Source organism: Homo sapiens, chromosome 15, assembly GCF_000001405.40.
Source record: "Homo sapiens chromosome 15, GRCh38.p14 Primary Assembly".
NCBI lineage: Eukaryota > Metazoa > Chordata > Mammalia > Primates > Hominidae > Homo > Homo sapiens.
The window spans coordinates 82748955-82776905 of record NC_000015.10 but is presented as its reverse complement, the minus strand read 5'-3'; the positions used below and the strand labels follow the sequence as shown (position 1 = coordinate 82776905).

The following is a 27951-nucleotide window of genomic DNA, read 5'->3' as shown; positions in this document are numbered from 1 at the left end:
ATTCTGTTTCATTGGTCTATGTGTCTGTCCTTATGCCTGTACCATACTGTCTTAATTACTGTAGCTTTGTAATATATTTTGAAATCAGAATGTGTGATGCCTCTAGCTTTGTCTTTCCCAAGATGGCTTTAGCTACTTGGGTTCTTTTGTGGTTCCATATACATTTGGGGATTTTTTTTTTATTTCTGTAAAAAATGCTGTTGGGATTTTGATAGGGATTGCCTTGAATCTGTAGATCATTTGGCATAATATGGACATTTTAACAATATTAATTCTTCCAATCTATGAATGTAGGATACTTTTCCATTATTTTGTGTCTGCTTCAATTTCTTTCATCAGTGTTTTATAGTTTTCAGTATACAAGTCTTTCACCTCCTCAGTTAAGTTTATTTCTAAGTATTTTATTCTTTTTGATGCATTTTAACACTATAGATCAAATGGACCTAATGGACATGTACAAAACATTCCATCCAGCAACAGCAGAATACACATTCTTCCCAAGCACACATGTAACATTCTCCAGGCTAGATCACATGTTACGCCACAAAACAAGCCTTAACAAATTTAAAAAGAATGAAATCTATCAAGTATCTTTTATTGTTATTATCATTACTATTTTGAAATAGGGTTTCACTCTGTTGCCCAGCCTGGAGTATAGTGGTGTGATCATGGCTCACTGCAAACTCCAACTCCTGGGCTCAAGAAATCCTCCTGCCTCAGCCTTCCAAGTAGCTAGGACTACAGGCCCACACCACCATACCCAGACAATTTGTTCAATGTTTTTGTAGAGATGAGGTCTCACTATGTTGCCCAGGCTGTTCTTGAACTTCTGGTGTCAAGTAATCCTCCTACCTCAGCCTCCCAAAGTGCTGAGATTACAGGCCTGAGTCACTCTGCCTGGCCTCAAGTATCTTTTATGACCACAGTGGTATGAAACTAGAAATCAATAACAAGAAAAAATTGGAAAATTCACAGATATGTGGAAATTACACAACACACTCCTGAGCAATCAAGGGGCCAAAGAAGAAATCAAAAGGGAATTTTAAAAACCTTGAGATAAATGAAAATGAAACACAACATACCAAAACTTATGGGATGCAGCAAAAGGGATGTACTACAAGGGAAATTTATAGCAATAAGCGCCTACATTAAAAAGAAAGAGCTCATATAAACAACCTAACTTTACACCTCCAGAAACTAGAAAAAGAACAAGCTAAGCCCAAATTTTGCAGAAGAAAGGAAATAATAAAGATTAGAGCAAACATTATAAAAAATGTCATATATGACATCCCACAGCTAACATCATACTCAGTGGTGAAAAGTTGAAAGCTTTTCCTCTAAGATCAGAAACAAGACAAAGATGCCCACTCTCAACACTCCAATTCAACGTAGTGCTACAAGACCTTGCCAGAGCAATTAGGCAAGAGAAAGATAGAAAGGCATCCAAACTGAAAAGGAAAAAGGGAAATTGCCTCTGTTTGCAAATTATATGAATTTTTTTTTTTTTTGAGACAGAGTCTCACACTGTCACCCAGGTTGGAGTGCAATGGTGCGATCTCAGCTCACTGCAACCTCAGCCTCCTGGGTTCCAGCGATTCTCCTGCCTCAGCCTCCCGAGTAGCTGGGATTACAGGCACCCGCTACCATGCCTGGCTAATTTTTTATATTTTTATTAGACACGGGGTTTCACCATGTTGGCCAGGCTGGTCTCAAACTCCTGACCTCGTGACCCACCTGCCTCGACCTCCCAAAGTGCTGGGATTACAGGCGTGAGCCACCATGGCCAGTCGGATTATATGATTTTATTGTAGAAAACCCTGCAGACCCCCTGAGCTTTGAGTAGGAAATGTCAATGTCTGAAAAAAATAATAAAGATTTAGAAACAAGGCCAGGCGCGGTGGCTCACGCCTGTAATCCCAGCACTTTGGACGGCTGAGGTGGGTGGATCATGAGGTCAGGAGATTGAGACCATCCTGGCCGACATGGTGAAACCCCGTCTCTACTAAAAATACAAAAATTAGCTGGCTGTGGTGGCACGTGCCTGTAATCCCAACTACTCGGGAGGCTGAGGCAGGAGAATGGCTTGAATCCGGGAGGTGGAGACTGTGGTGAGCCGAGATCGCACCACTGCACTCCAAACTGGTGACAGAGCGAGACTCCGTCTCAAAAAAAGAAAAAAAAAAAAAGGATTTAGAAACAAGTATTTTTTTCCCTCTAACTTCCTATTTTTGTCTTTAGCTCATAAGTGAGTACAGAGGCTGACCTCTCTGAGGTTCCTCCTGGGTATCTGTTTTTAGCATAGAGGTTAAGAGATGGGCTTTGGAATTCTATGGAGCTCATGAGAATCCCAACTCTGCCACTTCCTAGCAGTGTGACTCTGGACAATTCACCTAACCTCTCTGAGTCTTGGTTTCTTCATCTGTAAAAATGGACATCATAATACCTCATAGGAATATGGTAAGAATTAAATGAGAAAACTTATGTACAACATATTACATGGTGCCAAGTAGCTCTTTAAAGTATTATTGTTGGCCAGACGTGCTGGCTCATGCCTGTGATCCCAGCACTTTGGGAGGCTGAGGTGGGCAGACTGCTAGAGCCCAGGAGTTTAAGACCAGCCTAGGCAAAATAGCAAGACCCTATCTCTACAAAAAAAATCTTAAAAATTAGCTTGGTGTGGCACCGTACACCTATAGCCCCAGTTACTTGGGAGACTGAAGTGGGAGGATTGCTTGAGCCCAAGAGTAAGGCTGCAGTGAGCTATGACTGCCCCACTGCACTCCAGCCTGGGTGACAGAGTAAGAGCCTGTCTCAAAAAATTGAAATAAAATAAAATATTATTGTGATTACTTATTTATAAGGATAGTCTGTAATTCCTCATTTTTCAACTGCTTGCTTTCCCCTTCTCACCAACACTGAACAACATGATTGTGGACAATGTTGTGTACAGCATTTTAGGTTTTTTCCTTGCACAGTATTTTTGTTATAAAAATTGAGTCATTCTGTTTTGAAATCTGCTGTTTTTTCAGCAAAACAATTTTGATAGATATTTTCTCACCCTGATAAATTCTTTTGCAATATCACTTTAGTGCCTACATATTTTCATTTATTTAATCCTCAATTGTTGGATACTGGGGTGTTTCTAATTTTTTTTTACCATTGTAAACCATACTGTAATGCAAATCTTTAATCATAGATCTTGGGGACCATTCTTAGAATCACTGGGTCAAGGAGAGATTTCACAGAGCTATGACGTCCACTGGATGGTTCTTTTCCCCATCTAGGAATGGTGCTGCCCAAATGATCATTAGTCATTGGGAAGGAAAAGCACTATTGCCCAAATCCGTGCTTGAGAAGCAGTGACATTTTTCTTCACTTTTCTGTGTCCAGATCTCACATAAATCATCACCTTCCTGCCTGCATCTAGTGCTTCCTGAGGGGTTTAAAGTTCCCAGAACCATACATTTTCTTACGCTGCATCTCCAGGTGAAGCTGTATTTGACAGCGTCTAGCAGGGCATCTGTTGTGCACCCTGGACTTTGTCACTGGGGATATAAGTTATTGTCTTCCTCCTCACCTCTGTCACATTACGATCTTTCAGCCCCTGATCAGAAAGCAAAGGATGAACCAAAACTAAGTCAACTCCTTTAAGTTCAGCTGTGCTCTTACATGGGTTGATCAATTTCAACCTTTGAAACTAAGGATATTAAAAGTCTGGGATGGAGATGCTGCCATGGGAGAAGGATTATGGAGGAAAGGACCGGGCACAAGTGGCTCACACCTGTAATCCCAGCACTTTGGGAGGCAGAGTCAGGCAGATCACTTGAGATCAGGAGTTCGAGACCAGCGTGGCCAAAATGGCGAAGCCCTGTCTCTACTAAAAATACAAAAACTAGCTGGGCGTGGTGGTGTGAGCCTGTAGTCCCAGCTACTCAGGAGGCTGAGGCACAAGAATCACTTGAATCGGGATGTGGAGGCTGCAGTGAGCCGAGATTACGTCACTGCACTCCAGCCTGGGTGACAGAGCAAGACTTTGTCTCAAAGACAGAGAAAAAAAAGAATTATGGAGGAAACACACCACTTGTTCTTATTCTTGGTTGTGTGTGTGAGACTGTATAGGGGTGGGGGAGATAGAAGTATTCACCTACAGAGAAGAAAAGAATTAACTTAGTAGATGGACTCTAAAGAAGTTGGTTCTGAAAATCACAATTGGGCCACCCCAATCTTCTCTCATTAATGTGGGAGATGTTCCCTGGATGCCCCCTTTCCCCATACCATCAATGAAAGCAGAGCCTCCTTGCTGAAGGCTTCTTTGTCTCTGCTGAGGCAGCAGTGCTGTGATCCCGGTTGTCCTGCCTCTTTAGGTGCCACGGAAGGGCCAGAGGACCCACAACCTGGAGCAGGACTCGCAATCTATGCCTTGGCCTGAGTCCCTGTCACCGACCCCTGCTCCTTAAGCTCATCTGCACTTGTCAAAGCAAGAATAGATATACTGGTTGTATTTTGCAGACTCATGGTTGAGAGGCTGTATGTCCCCATCCTTGTCTACTCTGGACTTTCTCTTCCATTCCCAAAGGCTGTGGATTCATTGGGGGGATCAATGGTCATGGGAAAGGGGCCACTGTCACCCCACACCTCTATTAGAGGTTCCTCTTCTTTTTTCTTTTCTTTTCCTAGCTCCTTCTGCTCCAGTCATAAATCCACAGGTCCCTAACTCAGCCACAGGTTCCTCAGTCCGAGTGTGCTGGAGCTTATACTCCGACGACACTGTGGAGAGCTATCAGCTGTCCTACCGGCCAGTGCAGGACAGCTCACCTGGGACGGACCAAGCAGGTGAGGCTCTGCCAGGAACATGCCCGTGCTCATGGGAACAGTTCAGGCCCCTCAGGGGCCTGGGCCCTGTCTTCCTGGCAGTTGGGATGGTAGAGACAGGATGGGTCTAGACATGCAGAGGATTGGATGCAGGCAGGTGAACAGGGCAGAAAGGGCTAGCAAGGCACGCTGGGGCCTGACTGGGAAGGACAGCAAGGCCAGGCGAAGGGGTCTGGAGCATATCTACAGCCATTGGGTCAGAGTTGTCCCTGGGACCAGTCTCTGGCTGCCCTGTGTGCAGGAGGGGCCAGGGGTGCCCCTTGTCAAGGAGGCCCTGCTGGGCTGGCTGGGTTCTAGCTTGTCCTGGCATCTGAGGGTCAGGCTGGTGCTCTTCTCATAGCAGCCTTGTGCTGCAGAAGAAACTGGAGGATTCATCTGCAGACCCCATGAGGGGTGAGGGGGCCTCTGCAGCCTGGAAGGGCTGCTGGTGATCAGCTCCACGTTCCCAGGAGAAGACAACTCCTGAGATGGCCCCCGGCCTCCACTCTGGGCAGCTCTTGGCCAACATCCTTTTCCCCGGAAATGGGACTGGCTGGTGTGGGGTTACAGCTGGGGTAGGGCCCCCCATACTACAATAATCAATAAGCCATTCTTTCTTAAGGAGGGAGGGTCAGACAACAGAAGAGCCCCAGCTGAACATGTGAAGATTTCAAGGGACCAGGGCCAGCCTGACAGCACCTGTCCTGGGCATGTGGGGTTGAAGTGGGATTGCTGGAAAGAGACTTAGAGATCTCCATTTTATGGATGAGGAAACTGAGAGTCAGAGAGAAAGAAGCTGTCTGTGAGGACACAGTGAGTTATGGCAGAACAAGGACGTGAATCAGGTGTGTAGGCGTCCTGCCTCAAGTTCTGCTCATTGTACCAGACCATGCAGGTGGAGGGCTGAGTTCCAGAAGCTGAGGATGGTGTTTCTGCCCAGGAAAGAAGGGGAATTCTTGAGAAAAGTAAGAGTAAATTTAAGTGATGATGAGGGAGGGTGAGAGTGGTCAGAATAAGGACTAAAGAGGACATGGAGAGGGGCGAGGAGCTTTGAAAAGGGGGGTTGGGGACTAGGAAGTCAGACTTGATTAACCCCAGCTTTTGCCACAAATCAACCCTGTCAGCACCCCCTGCAGATACACAGAAGTCATTGTATTGGGGCTGTGTCATGGCAATCTATAAAGATCTTTCAAACTGACCATTTTTACTATAAAGGAAATGATATCCGAACGTAAATTAAGGAGTTATCACTGCCTTTCAAGATTCTGGGGAAGTCTGGAGTTGTGTTAGTTTTTGCTGCATAACCAAACCCCCTCCCCACCCCCTACAACTTAGTGGCTTAAAATAACAAACATTTATTATTTATTTATTATTATTATTTTTTGAGATGGAGTCTTGCTCTGTCACTCAGGCTGGAGTGTAGTGGCACTATCTCAGCTCACTGCAACCTCCACTTCCCGGGTTCAAGTGATTCTCCTGCCTCGGCCTCCCGAGTAGCTGGGACTACAGGCAAATGCCACCACGCCCAGCTAATTTTTTGTATTTTTAGTAGAGATGAGGTTTCACTGTGTTAGCCAGGATGGTCTCGATCTCCTGACCTAGTGATTCACCTGCCTCAGCCTCCCAAAGTGCTGGGACTATAGGCATGAGCTACCGCGCCCGGCCCTATTATTTCTTGTAATTCTGTGGGCTGGCCAAACAGTTCTATTCTGAACCACCTTGGATAGGGCTGGTTGGTCTAGGATGGCCTCATTTACTGTTGTCGCAGATAGGATAGCCGGGAGGACTTGGGCAGCTGGGGTCTCTCTCCCTGCGGTCTCACATCCTCCAGGAGGCTGGCTTGGGCTTGCTCACGTGGTAGTGGAAGCATCCCCAGCAGCAAGAGGGCTAGCCCCTGTGCACGAGCACTTCCATGCCTCTGCTTGCATCGTTTGTTATTGCCCCATTGACCAAAGCTAGTCACATAGCTAAGCCCAGTTTCAAGGAATAGAGAGAAGGAAGGAAGCTCTGAATGGAAGGAGCAGCAAAGTCATGCTGCAGAGGGAGTGCATACAGGGATGGGAGGAATTTATAGCCAGTTTTGTAATCTACTACTGTGGGATTCGGCATAATGAATTGGAGCCACTTGGCCAGTTTTTAGGGTTGAATTCTTATCTTTTTTTTTCCCCAGAGTTTACAGTGACTGTCAAAGAAACATATTGCTCAGTGACAAACCTTGTGCCAAATACCCAGTATGAATTTTGGGTCACAGCTCACAACAGGGCTGGCCCCAGCCCCTCTAGCGAGCGTGCAGTGTACATGACAGGTAATGGGCTACTCATTTCCTATAGCAGGGCTTTCATTCAAGCGGACACAGGAGTCATGGGTTTCTAGACATGGCAGGGCTCTTGATTTCATTCAGAAGGGTAGGAAGAGCTGTGTACATTTTTTTCTTTTATTTAACACACAAAATCTACATGCCTAGTTTGACAGTGACATTTTTTTTTTTTGAGATGAGTCCCGCCCAGGCTGGAGTGTAGTGGCAAGATCTCTGCTCACTGCAACCTCTGCCGCCTAGGTTCAAGTGATTCTCCTGCCTCACCCTCCCAAGTAGCTGGGATTACAGGTGTCTGCCACCACATCTGATTTTTTTTTTTTTTGTATTTTTAGAAGAGATGGCATTTCGCCATGTTGGCCAGGTTGGTCTCGAACTCCTGACCTCAAGTGATCCACCCGCCTCGGCCTCCCAAAGTGCTGGGATCACAGGCGTGAGCCACTGCACTCAGCCGACAGTGACAGTGACATTTTCTGATGGTTGGTCTCAAAATATAAAAAACTGCTACTCTCGGTCACACTGACATTTAAACCTTGCAAGCATCTTCTATTCCAGGAACATCTGGAAGGGATTCCCTGGTTTGCTTTTTATTGCACTGAATCTCTTTTGTGGGAGGAAGAAGGTGGCTGTGATGTTTGTCCATGGCTCTGAACAAAACAGCTGGAAATGAACACAACAGTTGTTCATCTCTCCCTTTCTCCCACATTTAGCACCTTCTCCCCCCATTATTAAAACCAAAGAGATAAGGAGCTGTGAAGAGGCTGTGCTGATTTGCTGGGAGTCTGGGAACCTGAATCCTGTGGACTCGTACACTGTGGAGCTGACCCAGGCTGAAAGTCCAGAAGCCTCGGGTGTAACTGAGTGAGTCATGAGGGCATTTGCTGGGCACGAGAGCCCTGACACCTGATACAGTGACATGGCTTAGGAAGTATACGGAGTCTGAAGAGAAGGTTGGCATTTTTGATACACAGGAATCTCAATTTTTGGTTGCTTAGTGTTCATGAGAAGTAGCTGGAATGCTATTACTGAAGGTGAATGACAAGTGAATGAATAAGTTGGTTGAACCTCAGGTTTTGTTGTTGTTGTGGTTGTTGTTTTAGCTCAAGTAAGGTTTCCCATTCATTCATTCATTCATTCATTCATTCAACATGCATTGAGTGCCTGGGTGGTGTCAGGTCCTGTGCAAGGCACTGGGAACTAGATGGACAAATTTCCTGCCCTAATGGGGCTGACAGTCTGGTGGGAAAATAGACAAAAGGCAAGAAAACAAACCAATGTGTAAAATATACAGTGCTAGGAAGGAAAAAGAAATGTAATAAAACAGAGAATGGTGGTGGAGGTGAGGATCCACTTTGGATAAAGAAGATGTTTAAACTGAGACCTGAACATATGGGAAAGACTGAGCCCCAAGAACAGCGAATGCAGGGGTGCTTCGGGGGGAGGGGGCTGCATGAACACAGGCCCTGGGGCAGGAGTGAGCTGCTGGAGGAACTAAAAGACCCACCTAGCTAGAATTCAGAGAGGTGAGGGTGAAAGCCATAGGCGAAAACAAAAGAGATTGCAGCTGAATGTACAAAGAATGTTTCATCTATCACAGAAGACTGTCTGGAAGCTCATGTTCACCCCTCATTCTCAGAGAGCTAGAGGGGTTCACAAATTGATAAGGGTTGGACTCAGTGACCACAAGGGCTCGCAGAACCTATGAGTTTACAGCAGCCTATGATGGAGGAAGCATAGGTTTACCTCTGGTTTACAGAAGTTTGTGAAAGGGGATGAACCACCCAGGCAGGCCAGCACCAGCCACCAGGACCAGGGGCTCCCCTGCTGTGGAACACAGGGGTGCACTGACCTGGAGCTGGAGAAATGAAGAGGTGTTGGTGTCAATTGTTAGGGAAGCAGATTCTTCTATGCTAAATGCCAGGCTTGAAACGTGGCCATATGCCACCCATCCATCTGTTCCAGGTGGAATCTGTGTGTCCATGGCCACACAGAGGCTGACTTTGGTAATCCACTCTGGAGATACTCAGGAGTGGGGCAGTGTGTCCAGTGGTTCTGGCCATCCTAATGGTTCAGGTTTCCTTTGCAATTTATGCTGATACTTTAGGAGCACTTGACACCTGGGACCAACTCACAATGATGAGGTCATCAGAGGGCTGGTCAGTAACCTGAGAGATGACCTGAGAGCTGGTGCATATTCTTCCAGTACAAATCCAATCATGGCGACCCATTGCTGAAGAAAAGGCAAAACTCCTTCACAGGCTCTGGCCCCTTCCTGCCTCTCCAGCTCCTCCCACACCAGCTCCCCTCCCTCTCAAGATCCCACCACATTGGTCATGTTTCAGTTCCTCCTACTTTTCATGCTCCTTCCTGCCACAGGGCCTTGGCACATGCTTCTCCTATGTAGGAGACTCCTCTGTCCCTTTTTCATCCAGTTACCTCCTCAGCATTCTTCAGAGCTCTGCTCAAAAGCCATCCTGCCCCCACCATTATACACTACAGCACACTATCAACTTGTCTTGGTTACCATCTTACATTCCTTCCAGTGATTGCCTGAAGAATGCTGCTCTTCCCATCTAGACTGTAAGCTCTATGAGGGCAGGAACTACATTTGTTTTTTCTGAGGGCCTCCCTATACAGTGCCTGGAACCTAAGGAGTTTAGTTAACATTTATTGAATGCATAAGTAAAAGTGCCCCTCTGGCCCAGAGCTGCAGCCTGAAGATAACCTGGACAACTTGGCCTCATCTGGGTGAGGGTGTTGTATTGGTAAATGGGCATCATCCTAAAGACTTCTCTTGCCCACTGGACTGACATGGGGTTGGCAACCGCAGCAATATAGACAGTGGCAATTATGAGCTTATATTTCTGTATAGTACAATTTAAATACATTGGATTATTTCCAATAGGCAGCTGTTAGGGGGTTAACAGCAGTTAACACTTTCAGCTCTAGTCAGAATTGTTTGCTCATAAACATAAATCAAGGACCTTTTTTTTTTTTTTTTTGAGACAGTCTCACTCTGTCGCCCAGGAGTGCAGTGGCGTGATGATCTCGGTTCACTGCAACCTCCAACTCCCAGGTTCAAGCAATTCTCCTGCCTCAGCCTCCTGAGTAGCTGGAATTACAGGCACCTGCCACCACACTCGGTTAATTTTTGCATTTTTAGTAGAGACGGGGTTTCACCATGTTGGCTAGGCTGATCTCGAACTCCTGACCTCAAGTGACCCACCCGCCTCAGCCTCCCAAAGTGCTGGAATTACAGGCATGAGCCATTGCACCTGGCTGAATTGACGGCCTTCTATGGGCCCAGTACTGTACTAAGAATAGCGGTACTCAGCCCCTGACCTCAGAGACATTATGATCCTAACAGACGGACAGAGACACACTGGATTCTACTGCATGCACACTCCATGATGCAGTGTTAACCATATGCCAAGCACAGTGCTGGGTGCCTGGGAAACCAGAATGAGGGACTTGGAGAGGAGACAGCCACAAACACAAGAAGTAGCAATGAAGTGAGAAAAGCAGACCAGAGACTGTGGGAGGGAATGCAGAGGGGGAGCCAGCACTCCTGGCTATGCTGCTGTTAAATGTGGGTCAGAGGACAGGAGCGCAAGAGTGAGTTAAACCTTCCAGCTTTGAAAGGGATGCCTGGTGCTTGGGCCTGGGTGTCCTAGCCCCATTCTGACTGCAGCTCTGCTTCCTTGTACAGGTCTGTTGTGGGCATCCCGACCTGCGAGTCCGTGGTGCAGCTGCAGCCGGGGCGGAGCTACATTATCTATGTGCGAGCCCTCAATATGGGGGGCCCCAGCGTGAGGAGCGAGCCAGCTACAGTCCACACCATAGGTCTGTGCCCCAGCCCACAAAGTCTCTGGGACCCAAAGTGGCCACTCTGTGGCAGACCCAGTGCTGCTATGACTTCACTGGGAAATTGATGAATATGCACAGATGTGGACACGTGGCAAGTCAGGCCAGAAGGAGTTCAGGGGTGTCCCATACTGCCCTAATTGCAAGTCAAATGGATCATTAAGAAGTCCTTCAATTCCTATTTCCCTTGGCAAATAGGTTAGAAATTCTTATCCATACACAGGCATTACAGCTAGAGGTAAAGAGCACAGCCTCTGGAATCAGAGGGGCTTGGGGTTCAAGTTTAAGTTCTATCATTTGCCAGCTGATTTCTTAACCACCTTGTGCCTCTGTTTCCTCATCTACAAAATGGAAATAGTGACACCTGTTTCTAAGGGTCGTCGTGAGGATTGAAGGGGATACTAGGCACACAAGACTGCCCGATGAGTGTCAATTGCCATCCTTGTTAACTGGACGCCTATTACTAGGCCAGGTCCAGGCTTAGGTGTATCCCACACGAAGCTAAACCGGTGACCACCGCCCACATGGAGAAAGCAAGTGATTGGCTGCGGGTCTTCTGTGTGTTCCTCCTCCCACAGGAAGCTACTTTCGCCTAAACAAGGACACTTGCCATCCCTGGCTGACCATTTCTGAAGACGGACTTACGGCTGTACGAAGTGAAAGGAGAACCCCCGCCAGGGAGCTGTCACCCAGCGACACTCACTTCACCAGGTACTTTGTCAACCGCTCACAAGGGCGTTCTGTGAACTTCCCGAAGGTGCACTGTTATTCAGGTCAAATCCGAATATGGCACGGAGGCAGCCTCGAGGGAAAAGGAATCCTACAAATGAGTGAGGAGGGAGGAGCCTAATGGGGAGGGGACCCAGAGGAGTGTGGGCAAGAGGGGTCAGGCAGGTGCAGGCAGAAGAGCCCCCTGGGACGGTGAGGTCAGGAGAGGGCGCGGTCCCCTGGGAGGGCATGGTCCCTGGGTCCTAGGCTGCCAGAGCTGGAGCAGCCAGAGGTCATGAGGGTGGGACAGGAATTACTAGTGGAGGGTGTCCAAGTTCTTGGCGTTCTGAACAAAGAATTGGACAAAATGCACAAACAAAGCAAGGAAAGAGGCCAGGCACGGTGGCTCATGCCTGTAATCACAGCACTTTGGGAAGCCGAGGCAGGCAGATCACCTGAGGTCAGGAGTTTGAGACCAGCTTGGTCAACATGCTGAAACCCCATCTCTACTAAAAATATAAAAATTAGCCGGGCCTGTTGCGGGTGCCTGTAATCCCAGCTACTCGGGAGGCTGAGGCAGAAGAATTGCTTGAACCCGCGGGGCGGAGATGGCGCCACTACACTCTAGCCTGGGCAACAGAGTGAGACTCCTTCTCAAAAAAAAAAAAAAAAAAAAGCAAGTAAAGAATGAAGCAACAAGAGCAGAGATTTATTGAAAACGAAAGCACACTCCACAGGGTGGGAGTGGGCCAAGCAAGCGGCTTAAGGGCCGGGTTACAGAATTTTCTGGGGTTTAAATATCCTCTAGAGGTTCCCACTGGTTACTTGGTGTACACCCTATGTATATGAAGTGGCTAAAGTGAAGTTACAAAGTCATTTACTGGGTGTACACCCTATGCAAATGAAGAGGATGTTTCCTGCCATGCTGAAATACAAAGCTATTTACTTGGACTTAGAAGGTTGGGGTTTTTCCGTTTAATTTAGTTCTAGGAAGTCCTTAGGTTCCCTGCCCCCAGACCCTGTTCTCCTGCTTCACAGGGGTCATGCTGTGGGCTAGTGGGAGAACAGAAACAAGGACCCAGGTCTCCCACCAGTTAGCCCAGTGCTCTCTCTCCTGCACTGTGGTACCTTACAGCAAAACTCCTGATGGAAAACTGGCCATGGAGTGAGTCTGTTCCAAAGTTCAAGGCAGATAATTGCTTTGTACATGTACATATGAAAGAAGCCGGAAAGATCATGTTTGGAGAAATATAAGGAATTTGGTATGTCTGCGGTATAGGATCCATGACGGGAAGAGGTGGAAGATGAGGCAGGAAAGTCGGAGAAAGTCCAGTATACACACAAAAAGTTAGGATTTTATCCTCTATGTGGTGAGAATTATTGGAGGATTTAAAGCAGGGGAACAAGATCAGATTACATTTCAGAAAGATTCCAGTGCATGGTAGAACGTGAGCTGGGGAGGGAGAGGGAAAGGCAAAGGCAGATGGGAAACAGAGACCAGAGAGGAGACTATGGAGGGCTTGACTACGCAGTAGCATGGGTGAGAGGAGCCAGGGGAGTCAACTGCTGTTGAGCACATAAAACCAACAAGGCTAGGTGCTCACCTGTTTAAAGGGCAACAGAGAGGAAGATGAGTCAGGGACTATCATATTGCCATATTTATAGAGTGCTTACCAAGTGCTAAATGTATTTCATCTCATGCAATCATCCTAACAGCCCTGTACTATTACCAATCCCAGTTGACGGATGAGAATACTTAAAACACAGAGAAGTAACTTGCCCAAGAGTATAATGCTATTAAGGGTTGAAGCAGGAATCAAACTAGAAGGTGAGCTTGTAGCCACTACATTATTCCCATCTTAGTTTTCCACCAGGGGGTTACCGGGTAGATAATGACTCTATTAACCAAAATGGAGATGTGAGAAGTATGTACCCCTCCCCACTACACCCCAAACTTTGGTAGATAAGAGGGGTGGGAATATGACTTTTTCCATTTGGGACATTCTGAATTTGAAACAACAAGTGGAAATGTGAGTCTGGAGCTTGAAGCAGAGATGGCCTCATTTTATAGGTGAGGTAACCGAGGTAGAAGTTAACCAACATGCAACCTCCTTCCCAAAGCTTTGCTTGAGCAGTAAGAACTTGGGGTTTTGAAAGTAGAGAGAAAATTTTAAACTGAACAAATCTTTCTAGGGATGTTGAGGTCTATATATATTTTGGTTAATGTAGGAGTCTCCTGAAGAAGGTAGAATATTCACTTTGGAGATACCAGTATAATTTGATTTTCACTGAAAACCTTCCTCTGTTGATACTTTGCTGATGTAGAACAAAACATAACTCTAATCTTTGTCAGTATAATTGTTCCCAGTGCAACAGTGGAGGTAGATTTTAATGATCTGTGAGGAATCTGCTATCTTGTTCTCCTTGGGCTGGCCTCTGAATTCCACCAGGAGTCATCCCTAACATGATGGCTACCTCAAAGGCCTTCCATGTTCATTTAGTACCATAAGCAATGGTGGTGAACTTCAAGCTTATGGTTCCCTTAACCGTGCTGTGTTGTGTATTTTCAACCCTTTTCTTTTTTTATGAACAAGTGAACCAAACCTTTTTCTATGAAAGCCCCAACCATTTTAAAGAGCAAACAAAACTTGTTCTGTTGGTTTAGTGCCTCCTCCTCTCCCATTACCAAGCAGTAACATAATCTCAAATCTTCAGTATCAGCCCACTGAGCTTTGAGAGCTAAGGGTACTTTACAAGTTAAGTGTCCAGAAGCACCTACCACCACGTTCGTAGACCACCGACTGACTGATCCCAGCAACTGGCATCACTGACCTGCACAGCCAGGCTTGGGGCACCCCAGATCACACATGCTTCCACTTTCTAAAACCAGGTGTGTTGCTGTCATGGGAAATCTAATTCCAGTCCGAGGGCACCATTACTGGGAGGTGGAGGTGGATGAGCATTTGGACTACAGAGTTGGTGTGGCCTTTGCAGATGTCCGTAAACAGGAGGATCTGGGAGCAAATTGCCTCTCCTGGTGCATGAGGCACACATTTGCATCATCAAGGTAAAGTAAAATCTGGATACTCACAATTAAAATTTGCTTTTGAAAGATTACAGCAAGACCTTTTCACTAGCAATAATTAAGACACACGTTATATTTTACAAATATTTTAAGATATTTCAGGAGTTGCTGCCAGCCACTTTCCCTAAAGTCCAAGTAAGAGGAGAAAGAGCAGCTTTTCTTCAACTAAAAATAGCTAAAATTTATGGAGAATTATGTGCCAAGTACTCTTACATGCATTATCTCATTTACTTCTCACAATTGTGTTATCTCATTTGAAAAATCAGAATGCTGGGTGCAGTGGTGTGCACCTGTAGTCCCAGCTACTCAGGAGAGTGAGGTAGGAGTATTGTTTGAGCCCTGGACTTCAAAGCCAGCTTGGGCAACATAGCAAGACCCCGTCTCTAAAAAAAAAAAAATAATAAAATAAAAAAATAAAATAAAATAAAAGAATAAAAATAAGAAGACCACACCTCACAGCAATTAGATAATCCAAACGACATGGATTTGGAACTTGGATTCAAACTCAAGCAGTCTGGTTCCAAAGATTTCATTCCTAACCACTTAAGTGATAGATTTTTCATTTCTGTTCACCTTTAGTATTAAGCCAATACAGTTTGCTTTGAAGCCCCAGTTCCATCTTTTTAAGTAAATGTGGGCAAGAGGCTTAGTAGTTATGGCTAATTCTGGTTTGCTCCTGCTGCTGGGCACTCTGTCTTTACACATGGAGTAGTTCCATATAGTGGGAAAAAAAGTCTCACGAAGCCCAGGCCAATGAATACACTTTCAGACTTAGAAGGCCATGGTTACAACCTTCCTTCACCTCAAAAACTGAAAAACAAGACCCCACACTGCTTTCCTATCACACCTTGTAAAATGGGGCCTCTGACCCTCCTTGATTTGATGAATCCTATTAATGTTCATCCAATGCTCTCTGCCCATGATCCTCTATCATGGTTATTTACACATTATGTGTCATGCCCAAGCATAAGTGGGAAAACCAACTTCCCCTCCGATAACAGATGAAGACTCTAATGAAATCTACTAAACCTCACACCCAGTTTGGGGAATCCAAGAATTACTATACACTGAGGCAGATACTTTATTTGGGGATTCTGCCTGAAGTAAGACTAAAGAGCAAAGTCTCTTCTTTAGAAAGGCAAGAACAAGGGGCAGAGTAAAACTAAGGGAGCATAAAGAAAGCCTAGAAGTCCACGTGTAGAGGGAAGAATAAAGGGGGTAAGAAGACACAATAGAAGAGGGGTGGAAACAGAAGAATGACAAAAGAAGGGCAAAAGCTACAGTCCAAGTGCTAGAGCCAAGCCAGTTTCTTACAGATGTAGGGTGTGTGTGTGTGTGTGTGTGCGTGCACGCACACACGTGCACACACGTTACAAGTGGAGAATGAAGGTAAGGTATCCTAGGATAAGGTCTCCTAGCAGACTTGCATTTTTGGCTCATAGTATTAGACTTTATTGGTGGTAGCATAGAAAGTAGAAGAAACGACTCATAGCTTCTGGCAGCTGCTTAGTTAAATTAAGGTGAAATGGGCTAGAGACAGGCAGGCTTCCTCTGACACGTTTAGATCATATTCCAAGTGTTTATCCCAGTAGCCTAGACTAGCCTGTTGACACAAAGAGCTCTTCAAATATCTGTAGGTAGCAGGGTTAGGAAATTCCTGTGACAGGTTTTCATTTCTGCCATTTTTCAAAGTACACAGGATGTAGAGCATGGATAGTGATATAGTATTGATTGGTAACAGGCCCACTGGCTCCCCACTCAATATGAAAGTTTAAGAACTGGAGTAACTGTGCATAGAAGAGCTTATACCAAGAAGCCCATTTTATCACATGGAAAATCACAAGGTTCCCTGTTTCAAATGTCTAATCCAAATTTTAAAAACATGTTCTATTCCTATGCTAGTTTAGATGAAAGAGAGTTCAGGATGCTATAGGTAAATTTCTTAGGTTAAGAGGTTGCTAGAGAAAAAATGATGTTTGAAAAATGTTTCGGCCAGAAGCAGTGGCTCACACTTGTAATCCCAGCACTTTGGGAGGCCAAGGCAAGTGGACTGCCTGAGCTCAGGAGTTCGAGACCAGCCTGGGCAACACAGTGAAACCCTGTCTCTACTAAAAATACAAAAATTAGCCGGGCTTGGTGGTGCACGCCTGTAATCCCAGCTACTCAGGAGGCTAAGGTGGGAGAATTGCTTGAACCCAGGAGGCTGAGGTTGCAGTGAGCCGAGATTGCACCACTGCACTCCAGCCTGGGTGACAGAGCAAGACTCCATCTAAAAAAAAAAAAGAAAATGTTTCTTAGGACAAATTTTAGAAAAGAGATAGTTTAGAGAGTATAGTTTTAGAAATGGCTTGTCACCTTGGTAGTCATTTAATACTAGAAAATAGCAAAATCATAGGACTATGAATAAAATTAGTATGAAATGTTCTATAAATAGTCAATCTATAGAATTACTGAAACTTTATTATGTCAAATTTAATTTTCAGGCATAAGTATGAATTTCTGCACAACAGAACAACTCCAGATATAAGAATAACAGTTCCACCAAAGAAGATTGGCATTCTATTAGACTATGAACATTCAAAGTTGTCATTTTTCAATGTGGACCTTTCTCAGCATCTATATACATTTAGTTGTCAGCTTCACGAATTTGTGCATCCCTGTTTTTCTTTGGAAAAGCCTGGGTGTCTAAAGGTACATAATGGCATTTCAATGCCAAAACATGTCACTTTCTATTAGAACATTCTGATGTCCAGTTTCCTGTCTTCCATGCCTACCCCTCTCGCAGCTGCTCACGCCTTAGCTGGCTGAACCTGGCACTTAAGCACCATGTGCCCAGCACAATTTATGGCTCATGCTATTATCTGACTGGTGTGCTAGCGCTCATTTCACCCAACCTGGATTCTAGTCCTGTGTGCTGCTACCTGTGTGCTGCTAGGATAGTCATTACCAGGCCCAGCTGTAAAATAAAGGCTCAGACTAAACGAACTCAAAAGTCTTTGAAGCTGTCAAACTATATTCGTGTATATGCAAAATATCTTGAGTTTCCAAGACCTAGAGAGCTTGGGAGAGGACGAGGGTAGTCTTAATGGCTCCAGCAGCACCAGTACACCCATGCATTTCATGAGTCAGCCAAGAATACACTTGAGAAGGCGAGAGGCTGTCTGTAGAGAACCAGGGAAGCTGTGTGCCCTTCTCAATGTCTTCTACCCTCGTTTTCCCAATAGTGAGCAGCACTGTGGTGAGGTCCCTTCCACTGTGTACTCTGCATACAGGGTATTCCCTGTTCCACTCCTACACAGTATGCACCACTCTCTAATTTTGAAATTACCTCTATAATGCCTAATTCCATGAAGGGAGGGACAGTGCCTGTTTTGTTCATTGCTAGATCACCAAGGGCTAACACATAACAGCTGTCACCAAGTATTTGTTGAATAAATTAGTATCTTCTTCAGCCACTGCTCTTTGGCCTCTTACTGCTCTCCATGTGAAGGATGGCAGGGCTCTTTCAAAACTACAGCAAAGGACCTATGGCCAAGAAATGGGAAAAAACCTAGAATGGAGGCAGCGTGAAAGAACAGAAGGGCATCTGTGGCATATTAGCAAATGCACAACAATTTTTTAAAAGAAATTAACAGCCCACCAAAGGGCAAAGCTGAGCACGGGAAGGAAGACTGATCTCTAGCTAGGCAGCTTTCAGGCATCCTGCCTCACTGCCCCCAGGCCATTCTGTGAGCTCAATGCCCAACTCCATCAGCTACATTCCTGGTTCTCCTGTTCAAGTTTCCAGTTGCCACTTAAGCTCTGCACACACAGCATTTTCAAAGCTTGTGAGTGAAGCTGCAGAATAATTCCATTTGTGAAGCAATTACAATTCAGTATCATGTCCCACAGATGCCTCTAAACCCAGATATGCCCTAATCTCATCATTTAAGGTTTTGTGTTTAAAAAAAAAAAGTCCACTTTTCTTTTTTCTGGCGAAACCCCGTCTCTACTAAAAATACAAAAAATTAGCCGGGCATGGTGGTGGGCGCCTGTAATCCCAGCTACTCAGGAGGCTGAGGCAGGAGAATTGCTTGAACCCGGGGGCAGAGGCTGCAGTGAGCCGAGATTGTGCCACTGCACTCCAGCCTTGGCAACAAGAGCGCAACTCTGTCTCAAAAACAAACAAACAAACAAACAAAAAACCTCTGATGTTTTCCAGCACCTGCAAAGTCTGACAAACTGAAAGACTCTCATCTCCTACTAAACTCTGCCTACTCGTATAAATGGCAGCTCAGATTCCTGAATTAACAATTCACACTGACAATTTAATAACTCGTTATACACACACACACCTATCCTGCCAAGCTGGACTGTCTACTCTGAAACAAGGGACAGCAGATGTAAGCACAGAAATAGTTCCAGTTATAAACAATTAAAAGATACATATCATGTATATTTAAAAATGTTCTCGGCCGGGCGCGGTGGCTCACGCCTGTAATCCCAGCACTTTGGGGGGCCAAGGTGGATGGATCACAAGGTCAGGAGATCGAGACCATCCTGGCTAATACGGTGAAACCCCGTCTCTACTAAAAATACAAAAAAATTAGCCGGGACTGGTGGCGGGCGCCTGTAGTCCCAGCTACTCGGGAGGCTGAGGCAGGAGAATGGCGTGAACCCGGGAGGTGGAGCTTGCAGTGAGCCGAGATGGCTCACAGATCAAGACTCCATCTCAAAAAAAAAAAAAAAAAAAGTTCTCAGCTACTGAAATAGAAACTACCAAGTAAGAAACAGGATATCACAGAGAAGGCAAGTTTGAATTCAGGGTTCTAATAGGCTTTATGGAATACTACACGTTAGTATGAACACGGATAAATGGATTAAAAACTCAACACGTATAAAGTTTTAATTAAATTTTTATTTGACCAAGAAAAAACTGTCTAGAATTGCCTGACATTTAAAATCCACTTAAAGCAGATTAGCAACTTCAAGCATCACAATTATTCAGCATAAAGAGCCTTTGTTGAAACATCTTTCTCATTTATTTAGAAGAAAACATCTAGAACAGAACCAAGCAAAACTTTTGTATTTTTGTAAAAAATCTCAATTCCTGAAACTACTATAAACAATCTACTGAAACTGTATTCAGCAAGGGACAGATTTACCTCAAGGCCATGTTCACCTGCAACCTGCTGATAAGTCTGTTAAAAAACAAAGCAAAAAAAAGAGTTTTTAAAAATTAGACCACTGTAGCCACAATCCCTAACACTGGACAGTTAAAACAAAAGTTATCAAAATCTGTTCTTTTCTTAGCTTTACCTGTATCACTTTATAACTCCTGAGAAAGTCATTCACATAAGCTGTGGCCTCCCCACCTTAACAAAGGGGAAAAAGAATATGTAAAACCACCACAGAATCTTGGCGTAAACTAACATGGGTTTAGTAATACAGAGTACAGTATTCAGGATTTAAGGCACCCTTACAAGTCAGAATTGGAAAGTTGGTTTGAGACTTGCAATCTAAAATGACACTGATTTCTGATAAAATTAAATGACTTTTATTTAGAAAAGTGTGTTTAATAAATTACTTCCTGCTGGTTCAAATGACACACAATCACTTTGTATACATCCAATAAGATATTTCTGAAGTGTATACTTGGTCAAAAGTAAAAAGCAGAGCAAATGCATGGACAGTGGGGCCTTCTTCTTAATACTTCTCATCCTCCAAAATCTGTTAAAATCATCATCTTCCACAACTCACACACTGGAAGCTGTCCACAGCACAATTCACTGTGATGTGGCATTCTGTAAATAAGACTACATTGGTCTTGATGCAAGGCGGTTCAGCTACCAGACTGCACTATAAGAAAAGTCCTCTCCTCAACTTACCAAGAAAACTTCGCCAATTTCTAGTCACCTTCCTATCAATTAGTAGAGCAAGATTCTCACATGTTCACTATGTCTTTCTCCAGTTTTCTCATCTATAAGTGTACTACTCCTATTTTCTATAGGAAGACAATGGAAAGCGTGTAATTGCTGTTGGTAGATAAGTAGGTCTTGAATTTATTTTGCAAACAAGACCTGTTCTATCTACCTTTTCATTTAGGAGGCTAAAAGCAGAGTCAGCTTGATTTCAAGGACTCTATTTTCTTAGTCTCCAGAAGAACATAACCAAATCCAGCTTTTAAAACACTGTCCTTTAACAAGTCAAGATACTCAAATAAAGATCATGTATAACTTCAAGCTATAGGAGATTAACTCTGTACATATGCTTGTTTCACTGTAACCAATGGTTAATTAATCTAAATGCAAGAGAAAAGTTATTTGGAAAGAAGACCCCAGCTGGTCAGCATCTTTTCTGTCATCAGGAAGTCTCCTGGAAGGAGTATGACTATGACCTGGGCACAACAACTGCCCCTAAGTTAGTACTTATTTTAGAGTTGCTACTGAACAGGTGGTGGTTCTTGTCAAGTATATCATGTCTGACTACTTTACTGCTTGTTTTCTGCTATCACCAGTTCCAGAAAAAAAAAAAAAAAAAATTAAGCCCAACTCACTAATTGATTGCTTTTTCATTTTCCCAGACTGTGACAGAATCATGGTTTTTAGCTCTATTTTCACCTTACTCAAATCCTGGAGGAATTAAACTATCATTTATTTGAAATGTTACAAATTAGCCTGCAGTTGATTCAAACAACATGTAGTCACTCAGACATAGCAAATAAAAATGTTTTGGTATATGAACTTGGATTCTAATCTTGCTGTCTCTACTACTCTCATTCCTAAGTATAAATGTTAGGTCTCTTGCTTGAAAGGAATTTAAGAGATGCCCTTAAATTCAAACAGACTGGCTCGCAGAAAGGAATATAATCCATTCACTGGGAAAGTACACAGCCAACAAAACTGAGATTTCCCAACTATGCACTGTAACAATGCAGAAACACAGTTTTAGAGATGGCTTTACTGGGTATATACATCGCTCTTGGTAGACCCATCTATTATTCTGCCACCCAGAAAGATTCTTACCCTCCTACTTCCTTCCAAACATTCATTTAATTTAAAGGTGACAGGGACAGGGAGAGGGAAGGAAAAAACAAGAAGCACTATCCAAAAGTAAGAACAGTACTCTGGAGAAAGGTAAAAGATACTCAACACTGTTTTTTGTACCATTTACGATTTATAAATCAGCCACAGAGTCCTAGGCACCCAGAATGGACCTCCCCTTCCTTGTCTACCTAATGCCTGTATAGCTCCAAAATCACCTCTTGGAAACACTGCCTTATTCCTCCCCCTCCCAGGAGAGGTTAAGTGCCACACTCACCTCTTTTAGATTACTTCAGTGGCTATACTGCAATCATTGACTTGTGTCTGCTCCACTTGACTATAAGCAAATTGAAGGCAGGGTTTGTGCCTTCATAATCTCTGAATGATCTGAAGATGGAAATAACTGCTTTGTGCTTTCAGGGAGCTCATATACCTGCAAAGAGAAAAGAGACATCAAATTATCTTCCAAAATCAAAGGAAAAGCCTCTTTATTAGAAAGCAAAGCAGCTTTCAAATTTGTGTGTGCTTGGGGAGTAGAAGGAAACATTAAAAATATGAACCTGCTGGGCATGGTGGCTCACACCTGTAATCCCAACATTTTGGGAGGCCAAGACAGGCAGATCACCTGAGGTCAGGAGTTCGAGACCAGCCTAGCCAACATGATGAAACCCCGTCTCTACTAAAAATACAAAAATTAGCCGGGCATGGTGGTGGGCGCATGTAATCCCAGCTACTCAGGAGGCTGAGGCAGGAGAATTGCTTGAACCAGGGAGGCGGAGATTGTAGTGAGCCAAGATCACGCCATAGCACTCCAGCCTGGGCAACAAGAGTGAAAACTCCGTCTCAAAAAAAACAAACAACCCCAAAATATCAACCTTTCTTCTGTCCCAATACACCTTAAAGATCTGATACAGAGTCCCATTACTAATAGTGCTCCATGGTGACTTCTAATCTGGGAAGAGTGGGAGGGGACACAGAACAATCTGGGGATGGGAAAGATGTATGTGGTTTAGAATGCTCTTCCCAACACTGCAAGAGACCTTTGACATGTTTAATATTTATTATAGTTAGACTATACTTAAGAGAGCCCAAAGATCTTCAAAATGTATATTTTAAATGTTCTGAATCATAAATTTGGTTCATATGCCCTGGAGGCTGGTGAGTGAAAGCCGCCCCCTTGACTACTGAGTAAGCTTAACTGTCAATCCTATATTTATAGCACAACATGAGTATTTGGCTTTCCACTAGTTTCAGGATCTAAGACTTTATGGAATAAATTATATGCTATAAAGGTAATGTCAAATTAGGGACTTAGAAAGATCAAAGGTGATTCCTTTTCAAATGTCAAGTATCTTTAAAAGTCACTTTTAAAAGTGATACAAAGCAACAAAGTATTATAGCTCAGTACCTAACAACAGCCCCTCTTCCCCAAACAACTTTGGCCAAATTTATATATTATCTGTAGGGTGGAAATCAGATAAACAAACTCCTTGTTTGAAATTTCATCCTTTTCTTATAAAGTGATCGATGGCTAGAATTTTCAAACAGTGGGATCCTATGCTCCAGGGATCATTCTATGGTTCGTTATTGGAAACGTTTCTCTGAACGTGTAGAGCACTGATGAACATATAAAATTTTGACACACACAGGCACACGCAAAAGAAATACACGTTCCCAGCCCTTCAAAGAACCTCAAGCCAACTTCCCAAAAAACAACCACATATAACTATCTACCAAGGATTCCTACAGAAGGCATTTTAAACACCATTTACCTATTTATTATAAACTCAGCAGTGGGTATGTTTCTGTACAGTTATCCATTGAAAACTCATCTTAGTTCTGGAAGAGGGAGAAAAGGGAGATGGAATATAGAGGCTGTCACATGCTACTGGCTACTGGCAGGGGAAGGTGAGCAAGAGATGACTGGCCAAGAGAGTGAGAAGAGAAACTGCCTGTGGCTTGTCCATGTCCAAATCTACTAAATTGGTAGTCTTCTCTTCTTAGCCCATGATTCTCTAGCAGCTGGTCTGAACCACTGCCTGAAACCACTAAAAAAAAAAAAGAAAGAAAGAAAAAGAAAAAAAAAAAAAGCAACGAGATAAAAATAATACAAAATAGCTGGGTGCAGTTTTGTAGAGATGGGGTTTTGCCCTGTTGCCCCAGGCTGGTCTCAAACTCCTGAGCGCAAGTGATCCACCCACCTTGTCCTCCCAAAGTGCTGAGATTACAGGTGTGAACCACCACAGCTGGCTGAGAAAAGTTTAAATCTCAAGTTATATATGTGTATTTTTGTAGAGAAGTATCCTAGCTGATTAATAAACTTTCCAAGCATAGAAAAATATCACAGGCCAGGCACAGTGGCTGACGCCTGTAATTCCAACACTTCAGGAGGCCAAGGTGGGAGGATGGCTTGAGCTCAGGAGTTTGAGACCAGTCTGAGCAACACAGAGAGACACTGTCTCTACAAAACATTTTTTTTTTTAATTAGCCAGGGTGGTAGCACACACCTGTGGCCCCAGCTACTCAGGAGGCTGAGGTGGAGGAGCTCTTGAGCTCAGGAGGTCGAGGCTGCCAGTGAGCTGTGATTGCACCACTGCACTCCAGCCTGGGTGACAGTGAGGTCCTGTCTCAAAAAAAACAAGAAAAGAATTAAAAATGGACATCTGTTTGTGTTCTCTGTGCCTGGAATTATACAGCTACTGGAAATACAAGCTACTGTGCTTGTTGTTGCATTTTTAAGTTGATACTTCTGCTTATGTCACAATCACAACAGCAATCATTCCTCTACATAATCTAAAATGTCTTTGAAACATCTGCATAAAGTAGTTCTTAAAAGTTGGTTTCTGTGGGGGCTTCTGAAAGCCCTTCTGGGGGTTAGTGAAGTCAAAACTATTTTCATATGAACAAAAGCTCTTTGGAGTCTTCAATAACTGTTAAGTGGCTCTTGAGACCAACAAGTTTGAAAATTGTTTATATAGGAGCCAGGCACGGTGGCTCACACCTGTAATCCCAGCACTTTGGGAGGCCAAGGTGGGAGGATCACCTGAGGTCAGGAGTTCGAGATCAGCCTGGCCAACATGGTGAGACCCCTGTCTCTACTAAAAATACAAAAATTAGCCGAGCATGGTGGCATGGACCTGTAATCACAGCTACTCGGGAGGCTGAGGCAGGAAAATCGCTTGAACCCAGGAGAGGGAGGCTATTCATGGCTTCCCCACAATGAACATCCGGTTAAATGAGCTCCTCAGTACTTCAGATACCCCCTATGTGATGTGAACAGTTTTTCAGTATTTGCTAATGTATGGTTTTCTGGGCCTCAGGCTCACTTACTTTCTTCACAGGCTTGCCACTTTCCTACAACACATTTCCATTTCATAACATGAGAGAGATGACTGCAATAATGCACAAGACACTTAAGCCACACAAGCACCAAATGTAAGATTACTTAAAACAGCTGAGGTTTGACTGCAGTGCACTCTACAGAATCAGTTTTCTAGGGTGAGCACATAGCTTGCTCAGTGAACCCCAGGCCGCTCTGTGTAAATGTATGTAACAGGCAATGAAAGTTCCTTCTTCACATATTGTTACTACACATCTGTTGCTAAAAGGGAAATGACAGAGCGACGTGACAGACTCATCTCCATCTACAAACTATGGAAGATGTAGATGACTGACACAGTTCTAACTCCTAACACACACGGATTTTGCCTTTCATGGATTTATACTGTATGTAGATGTACATTACCACCCTTTTCACTCCTCCTTGCAACTCCCCGTCAACCTCGTAAAAAAAGACGAATTGTCTAGCAATGCAAAGAAACAGTATGGTGTACAACAAATAATTCCGGGCTAAAAATGAAGAAATCGCGCTTTCACTCTCGGCTCTGTTATTAACAAGCTGTATAACTTTCGGCCTATCTCCCCCATCATGCTTCGGTTTAAGCTAAAAGGAGGGAGATGACCAAGATGGCTTTGCTCTGCTTCTGACACCAAATGACCGCCAGCAGATTCAGGAAGCTTAAGAATTACCAACTCCGTGTGTGTGTGTTCTAAAATTAATGCAACAGGTGTTGCTGCCTCCAGCAGGCGTCACCGATTCAGAATGTCTGGGTTCTCGCAGGCCCTTATGGGACACAGAACAGCACAACCTATGTGAAAACTGTAAACTTTAGTCTGGTGAGTGCATACTTCTCCCTTCCACATTTATACTAACCTCAGCTCCGTGGGCTACGAAGCTCGTTCTTCAAATGAGGTGGAGAAATGTAAGCGCGATGAATGAGGCCCAAGTCGCTGGTGGCGCTGAACCCCCAAAAGATACACACCGCGACAGATGCAACGACCCCTCACCTCTACTCCCGTTCCCAGCCGCATCCTCTGAAACCTGATACGCCTGCCTGCCTACCAGGACGCTGCTGTCACTGGCTCTGCTCGGTGGCCAGAGACAGTACTCACTCCATGCGGCCACCCCTCCAACGTCCCACCTTCCTAGTAAATCCACTCTCTTTCCGGCGGAAAAGCCCTTCTCGTTTCCTGCGCGTGAGAGGAAGTCCCGCCCCACGCACCAGCGTGACATTACTGGAAGCGCCGAGGAGCTTCGCGCAGGCTCAGAATCGCTCAGCTGGTTGACGTTATCCAGGAGAATCGCGTTGGACTCAGGGAAGACCTGCACAGGATCCGGTTGTTGCTGGGTCCGAGGGCTGTAGGGAGTGGAGAAAGGGCCGGGAATCGTTAAGCGGGGTCTGGGAGAACGACTTGCAGATTCACATTTCCTCCGCCCGCGGATGTCCTCCGGGGAATTGAGGCTTCCTTCCTCAGCTGCCCTTGTTTCTCTCTTTGCTCCCGCTGCCCCTTGTTCTATTTCGTTTCTTACTATTTATGTAGTCTCATTGCTTGCGGTTATAATGGCCACCACTTTATTGAGCATTCACTGTACAAGCATCTCGCAGCAGGCGCTCATAAGCGTCTGGCAATTCTTGGCCACTGCTGGAAGCCCAATCATTCTTTTACCATGGAAGGGATTTGAGAGCCTACATAATCCTGTACTCTAATAGCCACATGGTACTCTTGGGGCTAGGAAGATAAAGTAGAAATTGAAATTGCTGTTGTATTAGTTTTCTGAAGCTGCCATAACCAAGTACCTCACACTGGATAGCTTAAAACAACAGATATATTTTCTCGCTTTCTGGAGTCTGGAAGTCAGAAATCAAGATGTCAGTGGGGTCTTGCTTCTTCTGAGACTCTGGATAGAATCCTTCCTGCCTCTTCCTAGCTTCTAGTGGGAGCCAGCAATCATTGGTGTACTTTCGCTTGTAGCTGCATTACTCCATTCTCTTCCTCTGTTATCAAATGGTATACTCCCTGTGTGTCTCTGTCTCTGTGTGTTTTATAAGGACACCAGTCCTGTTAGGTAAAAGGCTCACCTTACTCCAGTATGACCTGATCATGACTAATCACATCTGCAATGACACTCTTTCCAAATAAGGTCACATTTTGAGGTTCCAGGAAGGACATGAATTTTGGGGGCGACACTAACCAACCCAGTACAGCTGTTAAAGTTCTCAAGAAGTAGACAAACGAAGAGTTGACAAATAAATGTAGTACAAGTGGATTCAAATTTAGTTCAGTTTTATCTGAGTGTTCATAGACATTCGGAGTATCCCTTTAAAGGATGGGTAGGGGCCGGGCGTGGTGGCTCACGCCTGTAGTCCCAGCCCCTTGGGAGGCCGAGGTGGGCGGATCAGCTGAGGTCAGGAGTTTGAGCCCAGCCTGGCCAACATGGCGAGACTCCGCCTCTACTAAAAATACAAAAATTAGCCGGGCGTGGTGACAGGTGCCTGTAGTTCCAGCTACTTGGGAGGCTGAGGCAGGAGAATCGCTTGATCACAGGAGGTGGAGGTTGCAGTGAGCTGAGATGGCACCGTTGCACTCCAACCTGGGTGACGAGCGAAAATCCATCTCAAAAAAAAAAAAAATTAGTTACGAAAGATTCTCTCTACTTCTATCTTTTGAAAGAGACTATAGATAATTTGCATAATTTCTTCCTTAAATGTTTCATAGAATTCACCAGTTAGACCATCTGGACCTGGTACTTTCTGTTTCTGAAAGTT

The 27951-nt window shown here is 44.5% G+C and overlaps 1 protein-coding gene, 1 long non-coding RNA gene and 1 other non-coding gene across 15 annotated transcripts in view, besides 3 other annotated features; 1 reads left to right on the top strand and 2 right to left on the bottom strand.

Annotated features, from left to right (window-relative positions):
- The window catches only part of FSD2 (fibronectin type III and SPRY domain containing 2), a 50708-nt gene extending 29164 nt beyond the window's left edge, over window positions 1–21544 (top strand). For 5 of the 9 annotated variants that reach the window (NM_001007122.4, XM_011521235.4, XM_005272425.6 and 2 more), the window contains 7 exons: window positions 4678–4833; window positions 7022–7156; window positions 7876–8026; window positions 10875–11008; window positions 11608–11740; window positions 14628–14804; window positions 17306–21544. In NM_001007122.4, coding sequence (NP_001007123.1) covers window positions 4678–4833; window positions 7022–7156; window positions 7876–8026; window positions 10875–11008; window positions 11608–11740; window positions 14628–14804; window positions 17306–17558 — 1139 coding nt within the window. In that variant the 3' untranslated portion in view covers window positions 17559–21544. Of the gene's footprint in view, window positions 1–4677; window positions 4834–5737; window positions 5817–7021; window positions 7157–7875; window positions 8027–10874; window positions 11009–11607; window positions 11741–14627; window positions 14805–17305 lie in introns of those variants that run through there. The other 4 variants (NM_001281806.2, NM_001281805.2, XM_047432156.1 and 1 more) reach the window with 3 other exon arrangements.
- Window positions 13303–13503: a silencer, noted in NCBI's record as "peak2404 fragment used in MPRA reporter construct". NCBI's record gives its function as "represses an SCP1 promoter by STARR-seq MPRAs in K562 erythroleukemia cells {active_cell/tissue: K562}" and the evidence as "EXISTENCE:reporter gene assay evidence [ECO:0000049][PMID:32103011]".
- SNHG21 (small nucleolar RNA host gene 21) lies at window positions 19700–26342 on the bottom strand. Of its 5 annotated transcripts, NR_110097.1 has the most exons (5): window positions 26058–26342; window positions 22122–22277; window positions 20121–20176; window positions 19967–20002; window positions 19700–19860 (listed from the first exon to the last, which is right to left on the bottom strand). It is a non-coding gene; the product is annotated as a small nucleolar RNA host gene 21 (long non-coding RNA). The 5 variants fall into 5 exon arrangements; NR_110096.1 differs by having other exon boundaries at window positions 19700–20002; NR_110098.1 differs by lacking the exon at window positions 20121–20176 and having other exon boundaries at window positions 19700–20002.
- SCARNA15 (small Cajal body-specific RNA 15) lies at window positions 20835–20961 on the bottom strand. The gene has a single exon (NR_003011.1).
- Window positions 26169–26238: an enhancer, noted in NCBI's record as "active region_9965". NCBI's record gives its function as "activates an Ori minimal core promoter by ATAC-STARR-seq in GM12878 lymphoblastoid cells {active_cell/tissue: GM12878}" and the evidence as "EXISTENCE:reporter gene assay evidence [ECO:0000049][PMID:35858748]".
- Window positions 26529–26658: an enhancer, noted in NCBI's record as "active region_9964". NCBI's record gives its function as "activates an Ori minimal core promoter by ATAC-STARR-seq in GM12878 lymphoblastoid cells {active_cell/tissue: GM12878}" and the evidence as "EXISTENCE:reporter gene assay evidence [ECO:0000049][PMID:35858748]".